Source organism: Homo sapiens, chromosome 2 (assembly GCF_000001405.40).
Source record: "Homo sapiens chromosome 2, GRCh38.p14 Primary Assembly".
NCBI classification, from domain to species: domain Eukaryota; kingdom Metazoa; phylum Chordata; class Mammalia; order Primates; family Hominidae; genus Homo; species Homo sapiens.
Genome location: NC_000002.12, coordinates 231532166 through 231554674, shown reverse-complemented (window position 1 = coordinate 231554674; position 22509 = coordinate 231532166). Strand labels below are relative to the sequence as shown.

The window sequence follows — 22509 nt, the reverse complement described above, 5'->3', positions numbered from 1 at the left end:
AGCGGGAGAAAGGGCTGGGAAGGCTTACAAATAGTGGACAGGGACCAGCCTGGCCCACAGCCCCACGCGGGCAGTGGGTGGGAAAAGGAATCGAGATGTCAGTGTGTCTCCAGTGAGCCCTGTGTGCAGTTGGTGCTGGGCATGGGTGTGTTGGCTCAGTATGAGGGCTGAGTATGTGCTGGCTGAGTACACAGACGAAGGAAGGAAATGTGTGAGTCTGGTGAGGCTGCTGCAACAAACTGCCACAGACTGGGGGGCTCAAAACATAGCAATGAATTTTTTCACGGTTCTGGAGGCTTGAAGTCCAAGATCAAGGTGTCAGCCGGACTGGCTTCTTTGGAAGCCTCTCTCTGGCTTGTAGATGGCCACCTTCTCTGCTTCTTCACGTGGACTTCCCTCTATGAGTGTCTGTGTCCTGATCTTGGTTTTGTTTTTTTTTTTTTTTTGAGATGGAGTCTTGCTCTTGTCACCCAGGCTGGAGTGCAATGATGCGATCTCTGCTCACTGCAACCTCTGCCTCCCAGTCTCAAGCAATTCTTCTGCCTCAGCCTCTTGAGTAGCTGGGACTACAAGTGCACGCCACCACACCCAGCTAATTTTTGTATTTTTAGTAGAGATGGGGTTGTGCCATGTTGACCAGGCTGGTCTCAAACTCCTGACCTCAGGTGATCCGTGCACCTTGGCCTCCCAAAGTGCTGGGACTATAGGCATGAGCCACCATGCCTAGTCCTGATCTTGTCTTCTTATAAGGACTCCAGTCATATTGGATAGAGCCCGCTCCCATGACCTCATTTAACTCTACTTCTTCAAAGATCCTATGTCCAAATACAGTCATACTAATTGAGGGTTAGGACTTCAGCTTATGAATTTTGGGATGACAATTCTGCCCATAACGAGGAGCATCTACATATTGTCAGGGAGAGAAAATATACACACTTAAGTAATGGACAAGATAGTGTACAGTTATTTGCTAAACTGTGTGCTATAAACAAATGAGAAAATAAGAAAGTATATAAGAAATGACTACACATGGAGACACTGAAGAAAATATAGTTCAATAATGCTTTGAACCCTCAACCAGCTTTAAATAAGAGCAGAAAATCTCTGGGTGCTGGGAATACAAAGGGAACATAAAATGAGAGAGTTAGTGGGAGGAGAAGTTGAAATGGCTCATGGAGTTTTGGAGCCAGATGTTGGCCTTCAATGCTTTGGGCAGGGGTTTTGAAATTACAAAGGGGACCAAGAAATTAGCATAACTGGCACATCTCGGCAGCTTGAGAGAGGCAAATGCAAAGCCTCTCTGTAGGATTGTTTCTACAATTTAGGAATGAGAGACTCCCATGGAAAGCATCCCCCACTGAGTTGAGCTCACAAGGGGTCAAAAATTAGAAAAGCAACAGTCAGAAGGAAATAGGAAGAATAGCCTCCCAAGGAATATAATTAATAGAAAAATCTAAAATGTACTCTAATGCAAAGTGTTTAAAGTGTTCACAGGAAAAAAAAAAGAGCTATAAACCATAATGTAAGGACTGAATAAAATGAAAACAGGATAGGCAGATTTGAAAAATAATTAAACAAAAGTTATAGCTATAAAAATACAACTACAGAACAGGAAAAAACATCATTGGATGAGTGAAATGGTATTTTAGACACAGCCAAAGAAAGAATTAGTGAATTAGAAAACAAAGCTGAAGAAATTTTCCAGAATGCATCACAATGAGGTAAAGAAATGGAGTTGGGAGGAGAGAATGAAATGATGCAGCAGCCATTAAACAAGAGTTCCAGAGGAAGAGAATAACAGAATGAGAGAGTTCATACTTGAGGAGCTAGAAATGGCCAAACCTGTGCTAAATAATGTAAATAAGTGTTACATAATTAAAACAAGAAAAGAAAAAGACCAATTTCACTTTAATGCAACCACTTATAATAGAAGACCCATATAGTGCTTGCTACATGCCAGGCATTGTTTTAAGCACTTTACATATATTAACTTGTTTTCTAGAAAATAATACTTCAGGGCTGGGCATAGTAGCTCACACCTGTAATCCCAGGGCTTTGGGAGTCTGAGGCAGGAAGATTGCTTGAGGCCAGGAGTTTGAGATCAGCCTAGGCAACATAGTGAGAACCTGTCTCTACAATTTTTTTTTTTTTTTTTAATTAGCCAGGCATGGTAGTACTTGCCTGTAGTCCTAGCCACTCGGAGGCTGAGGTGGGAACCCAGGAGCTTGAGGCTGCAGTGAGCTATGATCATGCCACTGCACTCTAGCCTGGGTGACAGAGAGCAAAACCCTGTCTTTAAAAAAGTTTTTTAAAATAAAAAAAGAAGATAATACCACAAAGATGAGAGGAGATTGGCATTAAAATATTCTAAGTTCATTATATTATTTGAGAAAAATATGGAGATTTTAATATGTTTAAATATCGGTTCCTTCTGTATGAAGAGGAATAAATATTGAACTCAACTTGATTTCTTTTTTCTTTTTTTTTTTTTTTTTTTTTGAGATGGAATTTCACTCTTGTTGCCCAGGCTGGGGAGCAATGGTGTGATCTTGGCTCACTGCAATCTCCATCTTCCAGGTTCAAGTGATTCTCCTGCGTCAGCCTCCCCAGTATCTGGGATCACGGGCATGAGCCACCACACCCGGGTAATTTTGTATTTTTAGTGGAGATGCCGTTTCACCATGTCAGCCAGGCTGGTCTTGAACTCCTGACCTCAGGTGATCCACCTGCCTTGGCCTCCCAAAGTGCTGGGATTATAGGCGTGAGCCACTGCTCCTGGACAACTTGATTTCTTTCTTTTCTTTCTTTTTTTTTTTTTAGATGGAGTTTTGCTCTTGTTGCCTAGGCTGGCGTGCAATGGTGCGATCTCAGCTCACCGCAACCTCTAGCTCCCGGGTTCAAGCAATTCTCCTGCCTCAGCCTCCTGAGTAGCTGGGATTACAGGCATGCACCATCATGCCCAGCTAATTTTGTATTTTTAGTAGACACGGGGTTTCTCCATGTTGTTCAGGCTGGTCTTGAACTCCCGACCTCAGGTGATACACCCGCCTTGGCCTCTCACAGTGGTGGGATTACAAGCGTGAGCCACCACGCCCAGCCCCAACTTGATTTCTTAATGATGATCACTGGACCTCCTTCTGCTCCCTGCCTTCTGGGTACTTGGCAGGATGACATTTCCTGGCTGTCTTACCATTGATTAGACGGAGCCATGGGGCTAGTTCTGGCCAATGAGTAGAAGTGATTTGACATCCAGGCTAAATATTTAGTTACCAGTACCCTCCAGGGCTCTAATAGAGTGATGTTCAACATGGTGGTTACTCCATCAGCATCAGCCCATCGGTGACATAGATAAGAAGAATACCCCTCTTGTCTCCCTGTAGAGACCCTGAGAAAGAAAAACTTTTATTGTGTTCAGGGCTGGACTAGAAGCTTCATAGTATCACCAGAGACTCATGTTTCCTCTGCCTTTCAGCTCTGCCATTCTTAGGGTGTGATGTCTAGCCTCCAGATCACTTCAGGGTCCATGATAGCTGCTGGACCTCCAGCCATCACATCTGTATTCTAGAAAGGAATTAGGAGATGGAGGCTAAGGAGAAGGTATAAAAATAGCTTTCATCAGCTGTCTGTCCCCAACCCTCTCTTTATTTTTTATTTTTTTGTAGCAACGGGGTCTCATCATGTTGCCCAGGCTGGCCTGAGCTCAAGTGATTTGCCTGCCGCACCCTTCCAAAGTGCTGGGATTACAGATGTGAGCCACTGTGCCCGGCTAGCCTCTTTTTTTTTTTTTTTTTTTTTTTTTGAGACGGAGTTTCACTCTTGTTGCTCAGGCTGGAGTGCAATGGCACGATCTCCCCGCTCACTGCAACCTCTGCCTCCCAGGTTCAAGTGATTCTCCTGCCTTAGCCTCCCGAGTAGCTGGGATTACAGGCATGCACCACCACGCCTGGCTAATTTTGTATTTTTAGTAGAGACAGGATTTCTCCATGTTGGTCAGGCTGGTCTCGAACTCCTGGCCTCAGGTGATCTGCCTGCCTCGGCCTCCCAAAGTGCTGGAATTACAGGTGTGAGCCACCGCGCCTGGCCTTTTTTTTTCTTTTGAGATGGAGTTTTGCTCTTGTTGCCCAGGCTGGAGTGCAAAGGCACGATCTTGGCTCACTGCACCCTCCGCCTCCCAGGTTCAAGCGATTCTCCTGCCTCAGCCTCCCGAGTAGCTGGGATTACAGGTGCCCGCCACCATGCTTGGCAAATTTTTGTATTTTTAGTACAGGCAAGATTTTACCATGTTGGCCAGGCTAGTCTTGAACTCCTGACCTCAGGTGATCCACCTGCCTTGGCCTCCCAAAGTGCTAGGATTATAGGCATGAGCCACTGTGCCCAGCCTCCCTCTCTCTCTCTCTCTTTTTTTTTTTTTTTAGAGACATAGTCTCCTTCTGTTGCCCAGGCTGGAGTGCAGCGGCTATTCACAAGCATGATCTAGCTTACTACAGCCCAGAACTCCTAGGTTCAAGCAATCCTCCAAGCAACTGTGTATGTCTCTCTTAAACCGTTTCCTCATAAGTCCCACTCTACAACCTCTGAATGGCCTCCTGTAGTTGGGAAATGTAGTCATTTAGCTGAGACATGCAGTGTAAATGGTCACTTGGAAAAACAAACAGTCTAGGATCTGTCAGTCAGGAAATAGGGAGAGAGGAAATGACATTGGGTGGGCAGCCTGCAGCCTCTGCCACAGGTCCCAGCCCAAATCTCCTCTCATCTCTCGCAGTCCAGGTTCCACTGAGAAGCCACGGTGATTGTTTAATTTTAAGGCAATACGTGTACATGGTTAAAAAAATCTAGCAGTGTAGCTGATATGATGGTAAAATCCATCCCCTTTTCACCCCATTCCCCACCCTCCCACCCCAGAAACAATCTCTTAAATTTTCTACATGAGGATGAGACCACATCCCTTCCGTGACTCTCGGAGTTGGCCCCTGGGCCCTGCCTTCCTGTCTGCCTTCAGCTCAGGCAGTCCAAACTGGCTTACTTCAGTTCCACCTTGTTCAGTGGCGAGGTTTTCTCCTCGGGCTCCAACCTGTATGTGTCTGAGTCTGCCTCCCACCAGTCAGGAGCTTAAAACTCTCGGACAGCTGCGTGCCAATGCCATCAACCACTAAGGGACAAAATGGGGCCAGCCTAGGGCACCGTGGGAAAATGGGGAGGGACTCTGACCCAAACGTGAGTGAACTTAGGAGCTGAGGAGCCATTCATTCATTCAGGGTACATCAGGTGCTACCTCCTGTGGGCCTGGTACTAGGGAGACACAAGAGAGTAAGTTGGGCCTGTTCTCCTGGAACTTACAGACCAGAGGGGGAAGACAGACAATAAATAGGAAAATAAGCAAACAGAAAAAGATAGTTAGTTTCACATTGTCATTCCTCTGCTTTTCAGTTCTGCCATTCTTAGGGTGTGATATCTAGCCTCCAGAGCACTTTAGGGTCCATGATAACTGCTGGACCTCCAGCCATCACATCTGTATTCCAGAAAGGAAGTAGGAGATGGATGCTCATCTCTCCTACTGTTGTAGGAGAACAGGCTCATCTCATTCTCTTGTGTTCATTGTTCCAAAAGGACATACACAGAAGATGTTATAGAAGGTTTGGGGGCAAGATGTCAGGACACGTGGTCAGAGCCCTAATGGATGAGAAGGTGCTGGGCAAAGAGCCAGGGAAAGGGAATCTCAGCAGGGCAAACAGCACATGCAAACGCCCTGAGGTGTCAGAGAGTGACCTGGCAGGGGCACAAGAAAGGAGAAGGGGAGTAGAGGTGGGCAGGGCTGGGCCACAGGCTGTGTTGGGCACTGGGTTTATTCTGAGGGTCCTCAGGAGGATTTTCAGCAGACAGTGGCGTGATCTGGTCTGATTTATGGGAGAGCTGGACTTTGCAAGTCCTTCAAGTGGTTTCTGTAATTTTCCATTTACAGTGTGGACTTGGGATAGCTTTGTGGGGATTATTTTTGGTTCTCTGGCCATTTTGGTCAAACCAACAGCAGAATGCGTTTTCCAAGCATGGAGCAGCAGGGCAACTTTCAGCAAATGCCCCACCTGCTCCTCCATGACCTCGAGGGCCGTCTCCCCTGGAGACACCCACACCCTCCGAATGGTGGACTCCATGCTCTTGGCACACGGACACCCAGCACCTCGCATGCCTGCCTTCCATGAAGGGTAGATGTATCCCTGTGGGCTCTGCAGAGAGACAGAACCAACAGGACATGCACACATGCATGTGTATGTATACATATGTGTATATCTACATATATTATTTATTTCAAGGTGTTGGCTCATGTGATTGTGGGGCTGGCAGGCTGGAGTCTCAGGCAGGAGTTGATGCTGCAGCCTTTTTTTTTTTTTTTTTTTTGAGATGGAGTCTCACTCTATTGTCCAGGCTGAAGTGCAGAGGTGTGATCTCAGCTCACTGTAACCTCTGCCTTCCAGGTTCAAGCAATTCTGACACCTCAGCCTGCTGAGCAGCTGGGATTACAGGCACGCACTACCACACCCAGCTAATTTTTGTATTTTTAGTAGAGACAGATTTTCACTATGTTGCCCAGGCTGGTCTCAAACTCCTGAGCTCAAGTGATCTGTCCACCTCGGCCTCCCGAAGTACTGGGATTATAGGTGCGAGCCACTGCACCTGGCCAGTGCTGCAGTCTCGAGGCAGAATTTCTTCTCTGGGAAAAGCCTCAGTTTTTGCTCTTCAAACCTTCAACTGATTGGATGAGGCCCACCCACATTTTTGCAAGTCATCTTCTTTACTTAAAGCCAACTCATTATAACACCTACTCTCTACCCACAAAATTTAAAATTAATAAATAGGCCAGGTGTGGTGGCTCGCACCTGTAATCCAAGCACTTTGAGAGGCCGAGGTGGGCAGATCGCTTGAGCTCAGGAGTTTGAGACCAACCCGGGCAACATGGTGAGACCCTGTCTCTACCAAAGAAAATACAAAAATTAGCTGGGCATGGTGGGATGTGCCTGTAATTCCAGCTCCTCGGGAGGCTAATGTGGGAGGATTGCTTGAGCCCAGGAGGTCAAGTTTGCAGTGAGCCATGATTGTGCTGCTGCACTTCATCCTGAGTGACAGAGTGACAGCCTGTCTCAAAATAAATAAATAAATAAATAAAGTAATTAATTAATTAAATGCAAAAAGAAAGTCAACTTATGGTAGATGGTAGTTACATTTACAAAATACCTTCACAGCAGCACCTAGATTAGTGTTTGAATTAATAACTGGGTACCGGCAGCCACAGAGGCTCACGCCTCTAATCTCAGCATTTTGGGAGGCCAAGGCGAGCAGATCACTTGAGTTCAGGGATTTGAGACCAACCTGGCCAACATGGTGAAACCTCATCTCTACTAAAAAAATAAAAATCAGCTGGGTGCGATGGCTCACGCCTGTAATCCCATCACTTTGGGCGGCTGAGGCGGGTGGATCACGAGGTCAGGAGATTGAGACCATCCTGACTAACACGGTGAAACCCCATCTCTACTAAAAATACAAAAAAAAAATTAGCTGGACGTGGTGGCGGGCACCTGTAGTCCCAGCTACTCGGGAAGCTGAGGCAGGAGAATGGCGTGAACCCGGGAGGCAGAGCTTGCAGTGAGCCGAGATCGCGCCACTGCACTCCAGCCTGGGCGACAGAGTGAGACTTTATCTCAAAAAAATAAAAAATAAATAAATAAACGAATAAAAAATTAAAAAAATAAAAATTAACTGGATGTAGTGGTGCGCACCTGTAGCCCCAGCTACTTGGGAGGCTGAGGCAGGAGAATTGCTTGAAGCTGGGAGGTGGAGGTTGCAGTGAGCCAAGATTGTGCCATTGCACTCTAGCCTGGGCAACAAAGTGAGACTCTGTTTCAAAACAACAACAACAAAAACAAACAAACAAAAACTGGGTACTAGTTATTAGCTTGGCCTAGCCAAGTTGGCATGTAAAACTAACATCTCAGTAAAATATATAAAACATAAAATCAAAATCCTTATTATATGATCAACTCCTGCAATCTTTGAGCCAGCCTGAGGCTCTCTGGTGTTGTTGCTCTGAGCAACCCTGTATGTGAGTGTTGGGAACATTAACATTGACCAACTGTCTTTGGGTTGAAGATGAGGGCGTTTGACGGAGGCTGAACAGGGCTGAATTTGTGAAAGAATAAAATTCCGGGCATTCATTTCCCAATCTCTGCCTGGAGGCCAGTGGCGGAGGCCGTGTTGAGCCCATAGCTCTCCTCTCTGCCTTTTGACTCTTGGCCTGTGCTTAGGGTGGCGGTCAGTGAGTTCACAGCCAAAATGACAGGGGCCTCGCTGGGCAGAGGACGCCTCATTGCACTGGTCCCTGTGCCTCCTTTCCCCTTGTTATGGGCTGAGCTACATCACCCCCAAATTCCTGTGTTGAAGTGTTAACCTTCAGTACCTTGGAATATGACTGTATTGGGAGATAGGGCCTGAAAAGAGGTAATTACGGTAAAATAAGTTTACAGGGGTGGGCCTTAGTGCAATATGGCTCACGTCCTTATGAGAAGAGATTAGGACACAGATATGTGTGTGCACAGAAAGACCCTAAGAAGACCCGGGAGAGAGAAGATGGTCGCCTGCAAGCCAAGGAGAGAGGCCTCCGGAGAAACCAAATCTACCGATATCTTGATCTTGGACTTCAGTCTCTAGAACTAGGAGAAGATAAATGTCTGTTGTTTATCCACCCAGCCTGTGATATTTTGTTGTGGCAGCCCTGGCAAATGAATACACCTCTTCTGTGAGGGGCCAGAAGGGTGTTCCTGGTTCCCTAATTTCAAGTCTTGGCTGTGCAATCTTTGCCTTCTCTTAATCGGAGAGTTGAAGATCACAGTCAAGGAGTCTGACCCTTCCCACAGACTCTGCTGAACTCTGCCCCACACCCTTCCGTAAACTCATTTGTCTCAGTCTTGGTGGTTTGTGTGGTCAGATACAGCCCAGCCACAGGAAGAGGCAAAATAAGCTTCAGGGGAAGTGAACACGTCCCACACAGCTTGCCTCTGGGGTAAGGGGCAGTGACAGGGCCTGACTGTTTAACGGTCCCTGCTACTGTTCCCAGGCCTGAAAATGTGTGTCAGCCTGTGTGCAAATCACATCAGGTGGATGCCTGATGGCTGAGGACAGCTCTGTGGCTGTTCTTGACTTTGCTCCACGCCTTGGGCAGTCAGCCAGGGGGACAGCACTCCTGGCCAGTTTCCCTACAGACAGGGCTCAGGGTCAGCTCTACCCCAAGGGGTTTCTTGATTTCCAGCCCAACAAGGGGGATTGCTGTGGCTTGGGTTTCTTCAAAAGGAAGACCTGGAAGCATGAACTTGATGAAATCGTTTATTTGATACGTAAGCCCAGAAAGCATGGTGAGGGGGTGGAGGAAGAGAGATAACGAAGAGAAGAAAGAAAATGAAGTGTGCATTCTGGCTGGGCCCGGTGGCTCACGCCTGTAATCCCCGCACTTTGGGAGGCCGAGGTGGGCGGATCACGAGGTCAGGAGATCCAGACCACCCTGGCTAACACAGTGAAACCTCATCTCTACTAAAAATACAAAAAAAAAAAAAAAAAAAAAATTGCAGTGGCCGGGAGCGGTGGCTTACGCCTGTAATCCCAGCACTTTGGGAGGCCTCGACGGGCGGATCACGAGGTCAGGAGATCGAGACCATCCTGGCTAACATGGTGAAACCCTGTCTCTACTAAAAATAGAAAAAATTAGACAGGCGTGGTGGTGGGTACTTGTAGTCCCAGCTACTTGGGAGGCTGAGGCAGGAGAATGGCGTGAACCTGGGAGACGGAGCTTGCAGTGAGCCAAGATCACGCCACTGCACTCCAGCCTGGGCGACAGAGCAAGACTCCATCTCAAAAAAAAAAAAAAAATCGCCAGGCATGGTGGTGTGCACCTGTGGTCCCAGCTGCTTGGGAGGCTGAGACAGGAGAATGGCGTGAACCTGGGAGGCGGAGCTTGCAGTGAGCCGAGATCGCGCCACTGCACTCCAGCCTGGGTGACGGAGCGAGACTCCGTGTCAAAAAAAAAACAACAGAAAATGAAGTGTGTATTCATTCCCAGGCCAGTCAGGACTATGGGCAGGCAACACGGTGGGGACCCCCTGAGATACCCTGTGGAACATGGCTTAGAATTGTCCCGCCCAGGGACAAGGAAGCTGTGGTGCATTTGTTACCTATTTTTATTTTTATTTATTATTTATTTTTTGAGACAGGGTCTGGCTCTCTTGCCCAGGCTGGAGTGCAGTGGCGTGATCTCAGCTCACTGTAACCTCTTGCCTCAGCTGCCAGAGTAGCTGGGATTATAGGCATGTGCCACCACACCCTGCTAATTTTTGTATTTTTGGTAGAGACAGGGTTTCACCATGTTGGCCAGGTTGGTCTCAAACTCCTGGCCTCAAGTGATCCACCCGCCTTGGCTTCCCAAAGTGCTGGGATCATAGGCATGAGCCACTGTGCCTGGTGTATTTTTAAAAACAGTTTTATTGATACATAATTCACATACCCATCGAAAGTGTACAGTACAGTGTTGTGTTTGTTGTTGTTGTTTTGTTTTGAGACAGAGTTTCGCTCTTGTTGCCCAGGTTGGAGTGCAGTGGTACGATTTTGGCTCACCACAACCTCCACCTCCCGGGTTCAAGCGATTCTCCTGCCTCAGCCTCCCCAGTAGCTGGGATTACAGGCATGCACCACCATGCCTGGCTAATTTTGTATTTTTAGTAGAGACGGGGTTTCTCCATGTTGGTCAGGCTGGTCTCAAACTCCCAACCTTAGGTGACCCACCCACCTGGGCCTCCCAAAGTGCTGGGATTACAGGCGTGAGCCACGGCACCCGGCCAAGTGCAGTGGTTTTTATTGCCACCATCTATGTACAATCATCATCATAGTCAATTTTAGAACATTTTTATCACCTCGAAGAAACTCCATTCTTTTTAGTGATCACGTCTATTCGTCCCTCCCTCAGCCCTAGGCAACCACTAATCTGTTTTCTGTCGCTATAGATTTTCCTGTTCTGGACTTTGCTATGAATGGAGTCATATAATATGTGGACTTATGTGACTGGCTTCTTTCACTTTTCAAGTTTCATTCAAGTGATAGCATATATTACTACTTTGTTCCTTTTTATGCTTAAATAATATTCCATTGTATGGATATACCACATTTGTTTGTTCATTAATCCATTGTTGGACATTTGCATTATTTCTACTTCTTGGCTATCATGAATAAAGCTGCTGTAAACATTCATGTCTATGTATAGGCACATGTTTTCATCTCTCTTGGGTATATCCAGGAGTAGAAGTGCTGGATCATCTGGCAACTCTATAATCATTTTAGGAACTGCCAGCCTGTTTTCCTAAGTGGCTACACCATTTTACTTTCCCACCAATAGTGTATGAGGGTGTTAGTTATCCATTGCTCTATAACAAATAAGCCCAAAATATAGCAGCTTAAAACAATTAACATTTACTATCTCACACCATTTCTGTGGTAAGCTGATGGTTCTGGCTCAGGGTCTCTTAAGAGGCTGCAATCATCTTGAAGACTTGACTAGGGCTGTAGGATACTCTTCCAGCATTGCTGGGTGGCTCACTTGCTTGGCAAATTAGTGCTGGCTGTTGGTAGGAGGCCTTGGTTGCCTGCTGTGTGAACCTGTCCACGAGGCTGCTTGAGCATCCTCACAACATGGCAGCTTGGTTCCCCCAAAGCAGTGATCCAAAAGATTGTAAGGTAGAAGCTGCAATGCTTTTGTTTTTAAATATTTTTAAATTGTCATAAAATACACATAAATTTTATCAACTGAACATTTTCAAGTGTACAGTCAGTGGCATTTAGTACATTCACATTGTTGTGTTACCATCACCACTATCCATCCACAGAATTATTTTTATCTTGCACAATGGAAGCTCCATACCCATTAAATAACAACCCCCCATTTCTCTCCCCCAGGCCCAGGCCACTACCATTCTACTTTCTGTCTCTATGAATCTGATTACTCTAGGTATCTCTTACTGTATTTGTCCTTTTGTGACTTATTTCACTTACCATAATATCCTCAGGCTTCATTTGCTTTGCAGCATATGTCATAATCTCCTTCCTTTTTAAGGCAGAATAATATTCCATTTTATGTATATACTACATTTTGTTTATCCATTCATCTGCCAATGGACAGATGAATGGGTTGTTTCCACCTTTTGGCTTTTGCTAATGATGCTGCTATGAACATGGGTGTATAAATATCTCTTCAAATTCCTGCTTTCAAATGTTTTGGGTATATGCCCAGAAGTGGAATTGCTGGATCATATGATAATTCTATTTTTAATTTTTGGAGGAACTGCTGTGCTGTTTTCCATTCTAGTGATGCCATTTTGCATTCCCGATGACAGCGCACAAGTGCATAAGGGTTCCAATTGCTCCACATCCTCAGCAACTCTTGTTGTTTTCTGGTTTTTAAAAAATAATAGTCAACCTAATGAATGCGAGGTGGTATTTTGTTTTTCATTGTGGTTTTGATTTGCATTTCCCTAATGATGAGTGATAATGAGCACCCTCTCACGTGTTTACTGGCCGTTTGTATAACCTCTTCAGAGGAATGTCTATTCAAGTCCTTTGCTCAATTTAGTTTTCACAATGCTTTTATGATCTAGCCTTGGATGGCATATGCTGTCATTTCCTCAATATCCCGTAGAACAGTTCAGCCCTGTTCAATGTGGGAGGCAACTACACCAGGGTGTGCACACCAGGACGCGGGGATCGCTGGGGCCATCGTGGATGCTGGCTGCTCATGGCGCATTTCTCTACTAGTGCCACCCCTAGAAGGAGCGTGTTCCTGGGTGTTAACTCCCTGGCACTCTGGCCTAAATCAGCACATACAGAAGACACTCCACTGTGCTAACTAGCGCCCCCAGGCGGAGAGAGGAGCTGTCAGCACGTTCAAGCCATGTCTGCAAATGTCTAAGGGAAGCCAGTGATCACATCGAGTCCCACAGTGGGTCTCCTGTGTCCTCCATCCTCACTGAGAGGCCACCACAGCTCAATACTTGCTCTGATGCCAATATCCATCCCCTCCTGTGCATGAATATGCCGTGCCCTTGATCTGTTCCCAATCTTGTGGTCGAAACTAATTCTTATCTGCTCCTCCTGTAGTTGGTCCACAGTTATTTCTGCAGATGCCCCAGGACTTCTTTTTTTGAGTCGGAGTCTCGCTCTGTCGCCCAGGCTGGAATGCAGTGGCATGATCTTGGCTCACTACAAGCTCTGCCTCCCGGGTTCACGCCATTCTCCTGCCTCAGCCTCCCTCCAGGACTTCTTGAATTACAGTTGACTTTTGAACAAAGTGGGGGTTAGGGATGATGACCCCATGTGCAGTTGAATATCCGTGTATAACTTTTGACTCCCCTCAAACTTAACTACTAATAGCCTACTGTTGACTGGAAGCCTTATAGATAACACATACAGTTGATTAACATGAATTTTGTATATTATGTGTATTATGTACTATATTTTTACAGTAAAGCTAGCTAGAGAAAAGAAAACGTGACTAAGGGCCAGGTGAATGCCTGTAATCCCAGCACTCTGGGAGGCTGAGGTGGGAGGATTACTTGAGCCCAGGAATTCGAGACCAGTTTGGGCAACATAGCGAGACCCCATCTCTATGAAAAATAAAAAATAGGAGGCCGAGGCAGGTGGATCACGAGGTCAGGAGATCGAGACCATCCTCACTAACATGGTGAAACCCCGTTTCTACTAAAAATACAAAAAATTAGCTGGGCATGGTGGCGGGCGCCTGTAGTCCCAGCTACTCGGGAGGCTGAGGCAGGAGAATGGCGTGAACCCGGGAGGCGGAGCTTGCAGTGAGCTGAGATCGCGCCACTGCACTCCAGCCTGGGCGACACAGCGAGACTCTGTCTCAAAAATAAATAAATACATAAATAAATAAATAAAATAAAGTAAAATAAAAAATTATCTGGGTGTGGTGGTGCACCTGTAGTCCCAGCTACTTAGGAGGCTGAGGCAGGAGGATGGCTTGAGCCTGGGCGGTCAAGGCTCCAACGAGCCGTGATCATTCCATTGCACTCCAGCCTAGGTGACAGAGTTAGACTTTGTCTCAAAAAAAAAAAAAAAAAAGGCAGCCTGGCCAACATGGCAAAACCCCATCACTACTAAAAATACAAAAACTATCTGGGCATGGTGGTACATGCCTAGAATCCAGGCTACTCAGGAGGCTGAGGCAGGAGAATCACTTGAACCCGAGAGGGTTGCAGTGAGCTGAGATCACATCACTGCACTCCAGCCTGCGCAACAGAGCGAGACTCTGTCTCAAAACAAAACAAAACAAAATGAAAAAAAAAAAAAAAGAAAAAGCCCACCCTGTAATTTACATATCTGAAATCCAACCCTCCATGTCATTACATTCTTTACAGGTTTCTCTTGGCAACATACCTTGCCTGGATGCCTTTCCAGGACAGCCTGTGTGGCCTGACCTCCCTCCTTCAAACGCCTGCACACCATTCCACAGCACTGGTGTCCCATTATTGTCTGTTCTCTATTGATAAAGATAGCAGGTGCCTTTGGGGTCCCTGTCTCCTCCCCTTGGTGGGACTTTGATTCCAGCTGCATCTACAGAAAAAGAGTCCCAACTCAGCTTGGCGCCTTGCATCTTTGCTTTCTGCCCCAGGACCTTCTCTGATACCCAGGAGCCCTCTGGACCCTTGTACAAACACAGCCAGAAAGGGCTGCAAAGTTAACATCTCTGGAGGAAGTCAGTTATCCACAAACTATCTGATCTTTCAGGGAGACGGTTCTAGCAGGCATGCGGGACACTCTGCTTTCAGAAGCTAAGACAAAGACAAGTCTCTAGGGGGCTAAGACAAGGAAAATTCATGTGGTCTCCAATTTTTCCCTATCACAACAAGGTTATAACTAGTACCACTTATCTCTCTATATTTGAGCTACTATTTATTTATTTTTGAGTTGGGAGTCTTGCTGTGTCACCCAGGCTGGAGTGCAGTGGCATGATCTGGTTCAAGTGATCCTCCTGTCTCAGCCTCCTCAGCAGCTGGGACTACAGGCACGCACCACCAGGCTCAGCTAATTTTTGTACTTTTTGAAGTAGAGTTGGGGTTTTACCACGTTGGCCAGGCTTGTCTCGAACTCCTGACCTCAAGTGATCCGCCCGCCTCAGCCTCCCAAAGTGCTGGGATTACTGGTGTAAGCCATTGTGCCTGGCCTGAGCTACTATTTTTTTCTGTAAATTTCTACAGGTAAAGTTTCAGAGCCAAAAGGATAGACTTCTATATATTGGTAGCTGTTGCTAAACTTGTCCTCTAGAAATGCTGTCATTCCCATGTACAGTGATGGAGCGTGTTTCCTTCTACCTGGGAGCCTGGGTGCTATGAGAAGTGTGTCTATGCAGTGAGTGGGCAACAGCTCAGAGTGAGGATTCAGATTAGGTTAGGAGGGGTCTGGTAGGGGCAGTGATGGTAGCAACGGAAGGTGAATTACACACTGAGGAGGTTGGCCCAAAGAGGAAATATGGCGAAAATAACAGAAGACGAGTTTCTTCCTCTCAGGGAGGTGTCGTAGGGATGAATGCTGTGGTGTCAAATTGGAATTACAGGTACTGATGTCAGTGCATGCTTTTCAACATTTATAGATAGATATAAAAATAAGTATCAGGCTGGGTGCAGTGGCTCACGTCTGTAATCCCAGCATTTTGGGAGGCCAAGGCGGGCAGATAGCCTGAGGTCAGGAGTTTGAGACCAGCCTGGCCAACATGCTGAAACCCTGTCTCTACTAAAAATACAAAAATTAGCCGGGCGTCGGCTGCCCCGTCTGGGAAGTGAGGAGCGCCTCTGCCTGGCTGCTGTGCAATCTTCCAAGTGTGAAGTGACAGCCTTTCTGCAGGTGTACCCAACAGCTCCGAAGAGACAGCGACCATCGAGAACGGGCCATGATGACGATGGCGGTTTTGTCGAAAAGAAAAGGGGGAAATGTGGGGAAAAGAAAGAGAGATCAGATTGTTACTGTGTCTGTGTAGAAAGAAGTAGACATAGGAGACTCCATTTTGTTCTGTACTAAGAAAAATTCTTCTGCCTTGGGATGCTGTTAATCTATAACCTTACCCTCAACCCCGTGCTCTCTGAAACATGTGCTGTGTCAACTCAGGATTAAATGGATTAAGGGCGGTGCAAGATGTGCTTTGTTAAACAGATGCTTGAAGGCAGCATGCTCGTTAAGAGTCATCACCACTCCCTAATCTCAAGTACCCAGGGACACAAACACTGTGGAAGGCCGCAGGGACCTCTGCCTAGGAAAACCAGAGACCTTTGTTCATGTGTTTATCTGTTGACCTTCTCTCCACTATTATCCTATGACCCTGCCACATCCCCCTCTCTGAGAAACACCCAAGAATGATCAATAAATACTAAAAAAACAAACAAACAAACAAAAAAAAACCCAAAAAAACAAAACAAAATTAGCCGGATGTGGTGGTAGGTGCCTGTGATCCCAGCTACTTGGGAGGCTGAGGCAGGAGAATCGCTTGAACCCGGGAGATGACGTTGCAGTGAGCTGAGATCATGCCACTGCACTCCAGCCTGGGTGACAGAGCAAAACTCCATCTCAAAAAAAAAAAAAAGTATCAATATATATGTGTGTATACATACAGTATATATAGTATGTGTGTATATATCTATATATTTATACATACATATATTCCCTAGCTCTGCCCACTGGAGGGTCTGGGAGCAGCAACAACCCAACAGTAATGAGCACACTCAGCACCCAGATCTTGAGCACTGATTTCATTACCACCAGATCTGACCCAGATCTCATGACTATTATTACATATATATATATTTTTTTAAGCAGAGTTTCGCTCTTGTTGCCCAGGCTGGAGTGCAATGGTGTGATCTCAGCTCACTGTAACCTCTGCCTCCTGGGGTTCAAGTGATTCTCCTGCCTCAGCCTCCCAAGTGGCTGGGATTACAGGCAAGCGCCACCATGCCCTGCTAATTTTGTATTTTTAGTAGAGTCGGGGTTTCACCATGTTGGTCAGGCTGATCTTGAACTCCTGACCTCAGGTGATCCACCTACCTCGGCCTCCCAAAGTGCTGGGATTACAGGTGTGAGCCACCATGCCTGTCCTTTATTTATTTATTTATTTATTTATTTTTTGAGACAGGGTCTTGCTCTGTCCCCTACACTTGTGTGCAGTGGTACAAGCATAGTTCACTACAGCCTTGACTTCCTGGGCTTGGGTGATCCTTCCATCTTAGACTCCCAGGTAGCTTGGGCTACAGGCATGCACCACCACACCTGGCTAGTTTTCGTATTTTTGGTAGAGATGGGGTTTCACCAAGTTGCCCATGCTGGTCTTGAACTCCTGGGCTCAAGCAATCTGCCCGCCTCGGCCTCCCAAAGTGCTGGGATTACAGGCGTGATTACAGGCGTGATTACGGGCGTGAGTCACTGTGCCCGGCTGATCTTGGTTTCCATCATTCTCCACTAAAGGAGCCAGAGCTCCTTGGAAAATGGCTTATTCCAGGATAGCCCAGAGAAATAGGAGATGAGCCTAGAACATTGTATTGTGCCAGAAAATACAAAATATTCATAATGACACATCAAAAGGATATACGATCCAACTTGAAGGGGCTCCCACTGGTCAAATCTGGGACAAATCTGAACATCAACACAAATAATGATAATGAATTAGTATCCTTTGAATAGAATAAGAAATCATGGGTCCACATGGATATAAATAAAAGTGATAAGAGGAAGTTTCTCCTTCTAGTCACAGTCAGCTCGGAAATGAAGGGATGATGGGGTTTAGAATCACCATTTGGCAGACCATCATAGTAATAATTTATGCATACAAGAATCATACACAGGCCAAGCACGATGGCTCCCGCATGTAATCCCAGCATTTTGGGAGGCCGAGGTGGGTAGATCCCTTGAGCACAGGAGTTCGAGACCAGTCTGGGCAACATGGTGAAACCTCATCTCTACGAAAAAAATAGAAACATTAGTGGACATGGTGGTGTGTGCCTGTAGTCTCAGCTACGCAGGAGGCTGAGGTGGGAGGATCAGCTGAGCTTGGGAAGTCAGAGCTGCAGTGAGCCGTGATCGCACCACTGCACTCCAGCGCCTGGGTGACAAGCAAGACCCTGTCTTAAAAAAAAAAAAAGTCATAAACAGATGCTAAAGTTCTCCTGGGCATCTTTTTGCAAAATGGTTTTGCCAACCTTATAAGCCTGCTGGGACAAGCTGTCCCCCAACCCTGGGTCTCACAATGCCTTGTGACTCCATTGTGCTCACACTAGCCGTCTGCCACCCTCTCTGAGGCTGGGTGCCTTTGACAAGGGCTTGAATCCCTGAGTGGCAGGGTCATCTGTGGTTTGTTCTGGCTGCTTGGCACCTGGGCTGTCTGCCAGGGGCTGTGGATGACCCACTGGGTGGGGAATCTGCCCCTCCTCCCCTCCAGAAGGCTGCAAGACCCATGCTCACCCCACCCATGCAGCGAGAGTGCAGCAGCAGGACCTGACTTTGTAGCATCCTGTCTCTCACCCCGGGGCAGGGGGTCCAGGGCAAGTGCTTCAAAAGGCGGGGACATGGTCCCAGCCTGGGGCCAGTGTCCACGGGATGCCGGGTCACAGTGCCAACCCTTCTAGCTGCAGCCCCACCGTCTCCCTGCCCCTCCAGCCTTCTTGTTGATTCTGTGAGCTGCCGGATGTTTTTCAGGAAATCCGGCCTAAATCAGCTGGAGCCAGTTTTGATTTTTGAAAACCAAGATCCTTACCTGTTGCAGTAGCTTACACCTGTAATCCCAACACTTTGGGAGACCGAGGTGGGTGGATCACTTAAGGCCGGGAGTTCAAGACCAGCCTAGACAACATAGTGTAACCCCGTCTCTACAAGAAATACAAAAATTAGCCAGGCATGGTGGTGCATGCCTGTAGTTCCAGCTACTTGAGGGGCTGAGGTGGGAGGATCGATTGAGCCAGGCAGGTTGAGGCTGCAGTGAGCCGAGATCGCACCACTGCACCAGCCTGGGTGACAGAGTGAGACCCTGTCTCAAAAAAACAAACAAAAACAAACAAACAAACAAAAAAACAATTCAACAGGAGGATCTTCTGGCACCCTGTCTTTCAGTCTTCACATACCTGGCCTTCTCTTAGCTTTAGGCCAACTGTGCCCATGCTGGTGCCCGCTCCTCCATCACACACCCTCAGTGCACCTGCCTTTGGTCCCCTTTCCCTGTGTCCAGCAGTTGCTGTTGATAGGCCCAGCACTGTGTACTTACCTCCTGATTCAGTCTTTGTTCCTAAGAACACCCCAACCCTAGAAAGACGCATTCCGTATGCATGCACCACTGTCATTTCATCACCACTTTCCGGTTCTTTGATATATTTCCTCCAATTTAATGTTATTCCCTTTGTAATGCTGACCTTCCTCGCACTCTGAATATTTACTGCTTTAGTATCTATTGGCTGTGGCAGCAGCCTGCCTTGGGAACAGGCAATAATGGAGAAGGTTTGGAAAAGAGTTGTTGAACTGACTAAAAGTGGCCTGCTTTTTAAAAAGTGGCACGATGTGCCAGTGATTCTAAACAATGTTGGTGATAAAATATTACTCCTGCCAGGCGGACTGCCTCCTTAACACCTACTCCCTGGTAGGCTACTGCCTATTGGACAGGGGGAACTAATGGTATTCATAGAACACTTCTAAACTCAACCAGAACAGAAGCATTTAGTGGTAAAGAAGCATTATGTCTGCAACTGACTCTCATAGTCCCCCAAAAATATAGGAATCCTTTGTATTATTCTTTCAACTTTCCTGTAGGTATGAAATAATGCTAATATAAAAGGTTAAAAAGGTCAGGGCTGGGCGCGGTGGCTCACACCTGTAATCCCAGCACTTTGGGAGGCCAAGGTGGATGCATCGCCTGAGGTCAGGAGTTCAAAACCAGCCTGACCAACATAGTGAAACCATGTCTCTACTAATTAGCCTAGTGTGGTGTCACGCACCTGTAATAGCAGCTACTTGGGAGGTTGAGGCAGGAGAATTGCTTGAACCGGGGAGGTGGAGGTTGCAGTGAGCTGAGATCACACACACCATTGCACTCCAGCCTGGGCAACAAGAGTGAAATTCTGTCTCAGAAAAAAAAAAAAAAGTTAAAAGGGAAAAGAAAAAAAACTACTAAATCAAACACAGCAAACTGCTGCAGACTAACAAGTTCCTGAGTCCTGATGCTGGTCACCTGTTGCAGGGGGAGAAACTTTTGTTCTGAAACCTCCCTCTGATCATGACTATGAGAATTTATAAATGGGAAGACCCCAAGAGGAGCTTCTGTAACACACCCAAGTGTGGTGTGTTAGCTGGGAAGGCTGGTGGACTTGAGGGTGGCCTTTATTGCTTGGAGGAGTAGGTGCCAGGAGCACCCTGTGGGCACACAATAAGATCTGGCCCCAGTCCAGGGTGGCATGAGGGACACACAGGCCCTAGACATGAGAGACACAGGCTTTTTCTGGCCTTCTCACTGTGTGACTTGAACATGTCCTCCCTTTGGCCACAAGCGGAGGTTGGGGCCTGGTACACAGGCTGAGCCCCTGTGAGGAGGTGACCGGCTCCCTGTGCCCAGCACCCTGCCTGAAGCCTGTGAGCTGGCTGTCTCTGGGAGAGCTCAGGAACAGGCCTCACAGCCCTCAGGGGGCAAGGGGCTAGACAGTCCCCAGTGGTCCCCTCTAGGAGCAGGAGAGGCAGGGGCGATGCTCCCCGGAGGTCTCCTCCGCTGCTGGTCCCCACCGGGCTGCAGGGCCCCGACTGCCTGCACTGTGGCTGGGCTCCCTGCAAGCCTGTGTGCTCCTTTCCACTGGGACTCAGCTCTCCTTCCCGGGGTGCTGGGGACCTTGCCCTTCCAAACCCTACTAAGGACAGCTCCCACCCCAGCCCTGCCTCCCAGCAGCTTTCTGGTATCTTCCAGAGAATTCCAGGCTCTTCAACCCTGCACTGAGTGCTTAAACCCACATTATCACTCTTAATCCTCATGGCATCCCTGAAGGACAGGGGCTATGTTTGTGTTTTACAGGCAAAGAAGCTGAGGCCTGAAGCGCAAAGTGGCTTATCTGAGGCCACGCTGGCAGAATGCGGAGTCTCACTCTGGCCTCACAGCCTCCAAAGCCTGTACTCACCATGTTCCCTGCCTGGCTTGACCATCTCTCCCACCAGTTTCTGTGAGCAGACCAGGGCTGGTGGCTCAGGGAGCATGGGTGCATGATCACACAAAAGCCACGTGGCTCCCTGAGGTGCAATCCCAGCCCCCAAGTTCGGAACCCCATCACCTGAGGGGCCCAGACCATCCTCCTCTAGCTCCTGGCCATGGCCAGGCTGGGACCCCACAGAGCAGAGCTGGGTAGGGAGCTCTCTGACCTTGGGAGGTGCCCAGATGGGTACAGCGACTCTCCCTTGCTTCGGATATTTACTGTTCTTGTTCTCCATGTTTGCCCAATGAAGCCTAGTGATGGGGGTCCTGGGTGATCCCCATTGCCCAGGCTGCAGAACAGTGCCTCCCTCCTGTCCAGAGCTACAGTGTCCCCAAGCTCATCTCATCCTCCCTGCCTCCCCTCTGTAGGCAGTAAGTGGGGTGGGGTTGGGGCGTTTCTGGGGGAACCATGGGCTTGCCAGGAGCTGCGGGTCAGCCCAAGGCTGAGAAGGTTCTGGTTTAAGCCTGGCCTGAGTTTAAGCAGCCCCTCTTGGCTCTCAGGGACTCAGCAGGATGAGGAGGGGATACGGAGCTACTCACATGCCTCTGGCCCCATGAGTCCTGCACACGCCTGGGACTTGGGTGGTATCTCAGCAGCTCCTGGAGGTCCCAGTGGCCCTCCCTGAATGCATTTGCTGTTGTGCAGAGTTGGGTCCTTGGCCCCCTCATCTGGGCAGACGCCCACCAGCCAAGCTTAGATGGATGTGTACACCCAGAAAACTGGGGGGTGCCACCTCAGGACGGAGCAGGAGCAGCAGGATGTCATACGTTTCTGATGGGACACTACCGTGGTGGCCTTGAGCTCAGGCCCGGAGGCCAGGGCCCCTAGGGCCCTCTGCACAGTGCGGAAGTGAGGGCCACAGCCATTGTGGCCACTGAGCCTCTCCTTTTTGGGGGCTGCTCTTTAGCCTTTGATGGCTGCTAATGTTATGTGAATGATGCAACCCGCTGTAGGAATTCCTGACTGGCAAGAGTCATTCTGCCTCTGCAAGGCTAGGTGGGTCCTTCCCCATCCCCTCCAGGGCTGTGTGAACCAAAGGGTCCACGGGGACTTTCGGACTGCTCAGAGTCTGTGCAGAGTGGTATGTGTGTGCGCGTGTGTGTGGTGTGGTATGTGCAGAGTGATGTGTGCATGCATGTGTGTGTATGTGTGTGTACATGCATGTGCGTGTGTGTGTGTGTTCCAGTGAAGGGCTGGGGTCCAAATGCTCCTC

At 47.9% G+C, this 22509-nt stretch overlaps 1 long non-coding RNA gene across 1 annotated transcript, besides 6 other annotated features; it reads right to left on the bottom strand.

The window, feature by feature from the left end:
- Positions 1–3049: 3049 nt before the first annotated feature.
- LOC105376787 (uncharacterized) lies at positions 3050–22505 on the bottom strand. Its single transcript, XR_001739928.2, has 4 exons — positions 21836–22505; positions 20061–20183; positions 14476–14652; positions 3050–3561 (listed from the first exon to the last, which is right to left on the bottom strand). It is a non-coding gene; the product is annotated as an uncharacterized LOC105376787 (long non-coding RNA).
- Positions 8575–8774: an enhancer, noted in NCBI's record as "active region_17291". NCBI's record gives its function as "activates an Ori minimal core promoter by ATAC-STARR-seq in GM12878 lymphoblastoid cells {active_cell/tissue: GM12878}" and the evidence as "EXISTENCE:reporter gene assay evidence [ECO:0000049][PMID:35858748]".
- Positions 8783–9077: a silencer, noted in NCBI's record as "tiled region #7070; K562 Repressive DNase unmatched - State 8:EnhW". NCBI's record gives its function as "represses a minimal TATA promoter and a strong SV40 promoter by Sharpr-MPRA in K562 cells {active_cell/tissue: K562}" and the evidence as "EXISTENCE:reporter gene assay evidence [ECO:0000049][PMID:27701403]".
- Positions 8783–9104: a biological region, named in NCBI's record as "Sharpr-MPRA regulatory region 7070".
- Positions 8875–9104: a silencer, noted in NCBI's record as "silent region_12431". NCBI's record gives its function as "represses an Ori minimal core promoter by ATAC-STARR-seq in GM12878 lymphoblastoid cells {active_cell/tissue: GM12878}" and the evidence as "EXISTENCE:reporter gene assay evidence [ECO:0000049][PMID:35858748]".
- Positions 16151–16351: a silencer, noted in NCBI's record as "peak4079 fragment used in MPRA reporter construct". NCBI's record gives its function as "represses an SCP1 promoter by STARR-seq MPRAs in K562 erythroleukemia cells {active_cell/tissue: K562}" and the evidence as "EXISTENCE:reporter gene assay evidence [ECO:0000049][PMID:32103011]".
- Positions 18500–19001: an enhancer, noted in NCBI's record as "H3K4me1 hESC enhancer chr2:232400385-232400886 (GRCh37/hg19 assembly coordinates)". NCBI's record gives its function as "activates a minimal SCP1, AML or CMV promoter by ChIP-STARR-seq in naive H9 embryonic stem cells {active_cell/tissue: H9 hESC(naive)}" and the evidence as "EXISTENCE:reporter gene assay evidence [ECO:0000049][PMID:30033119]".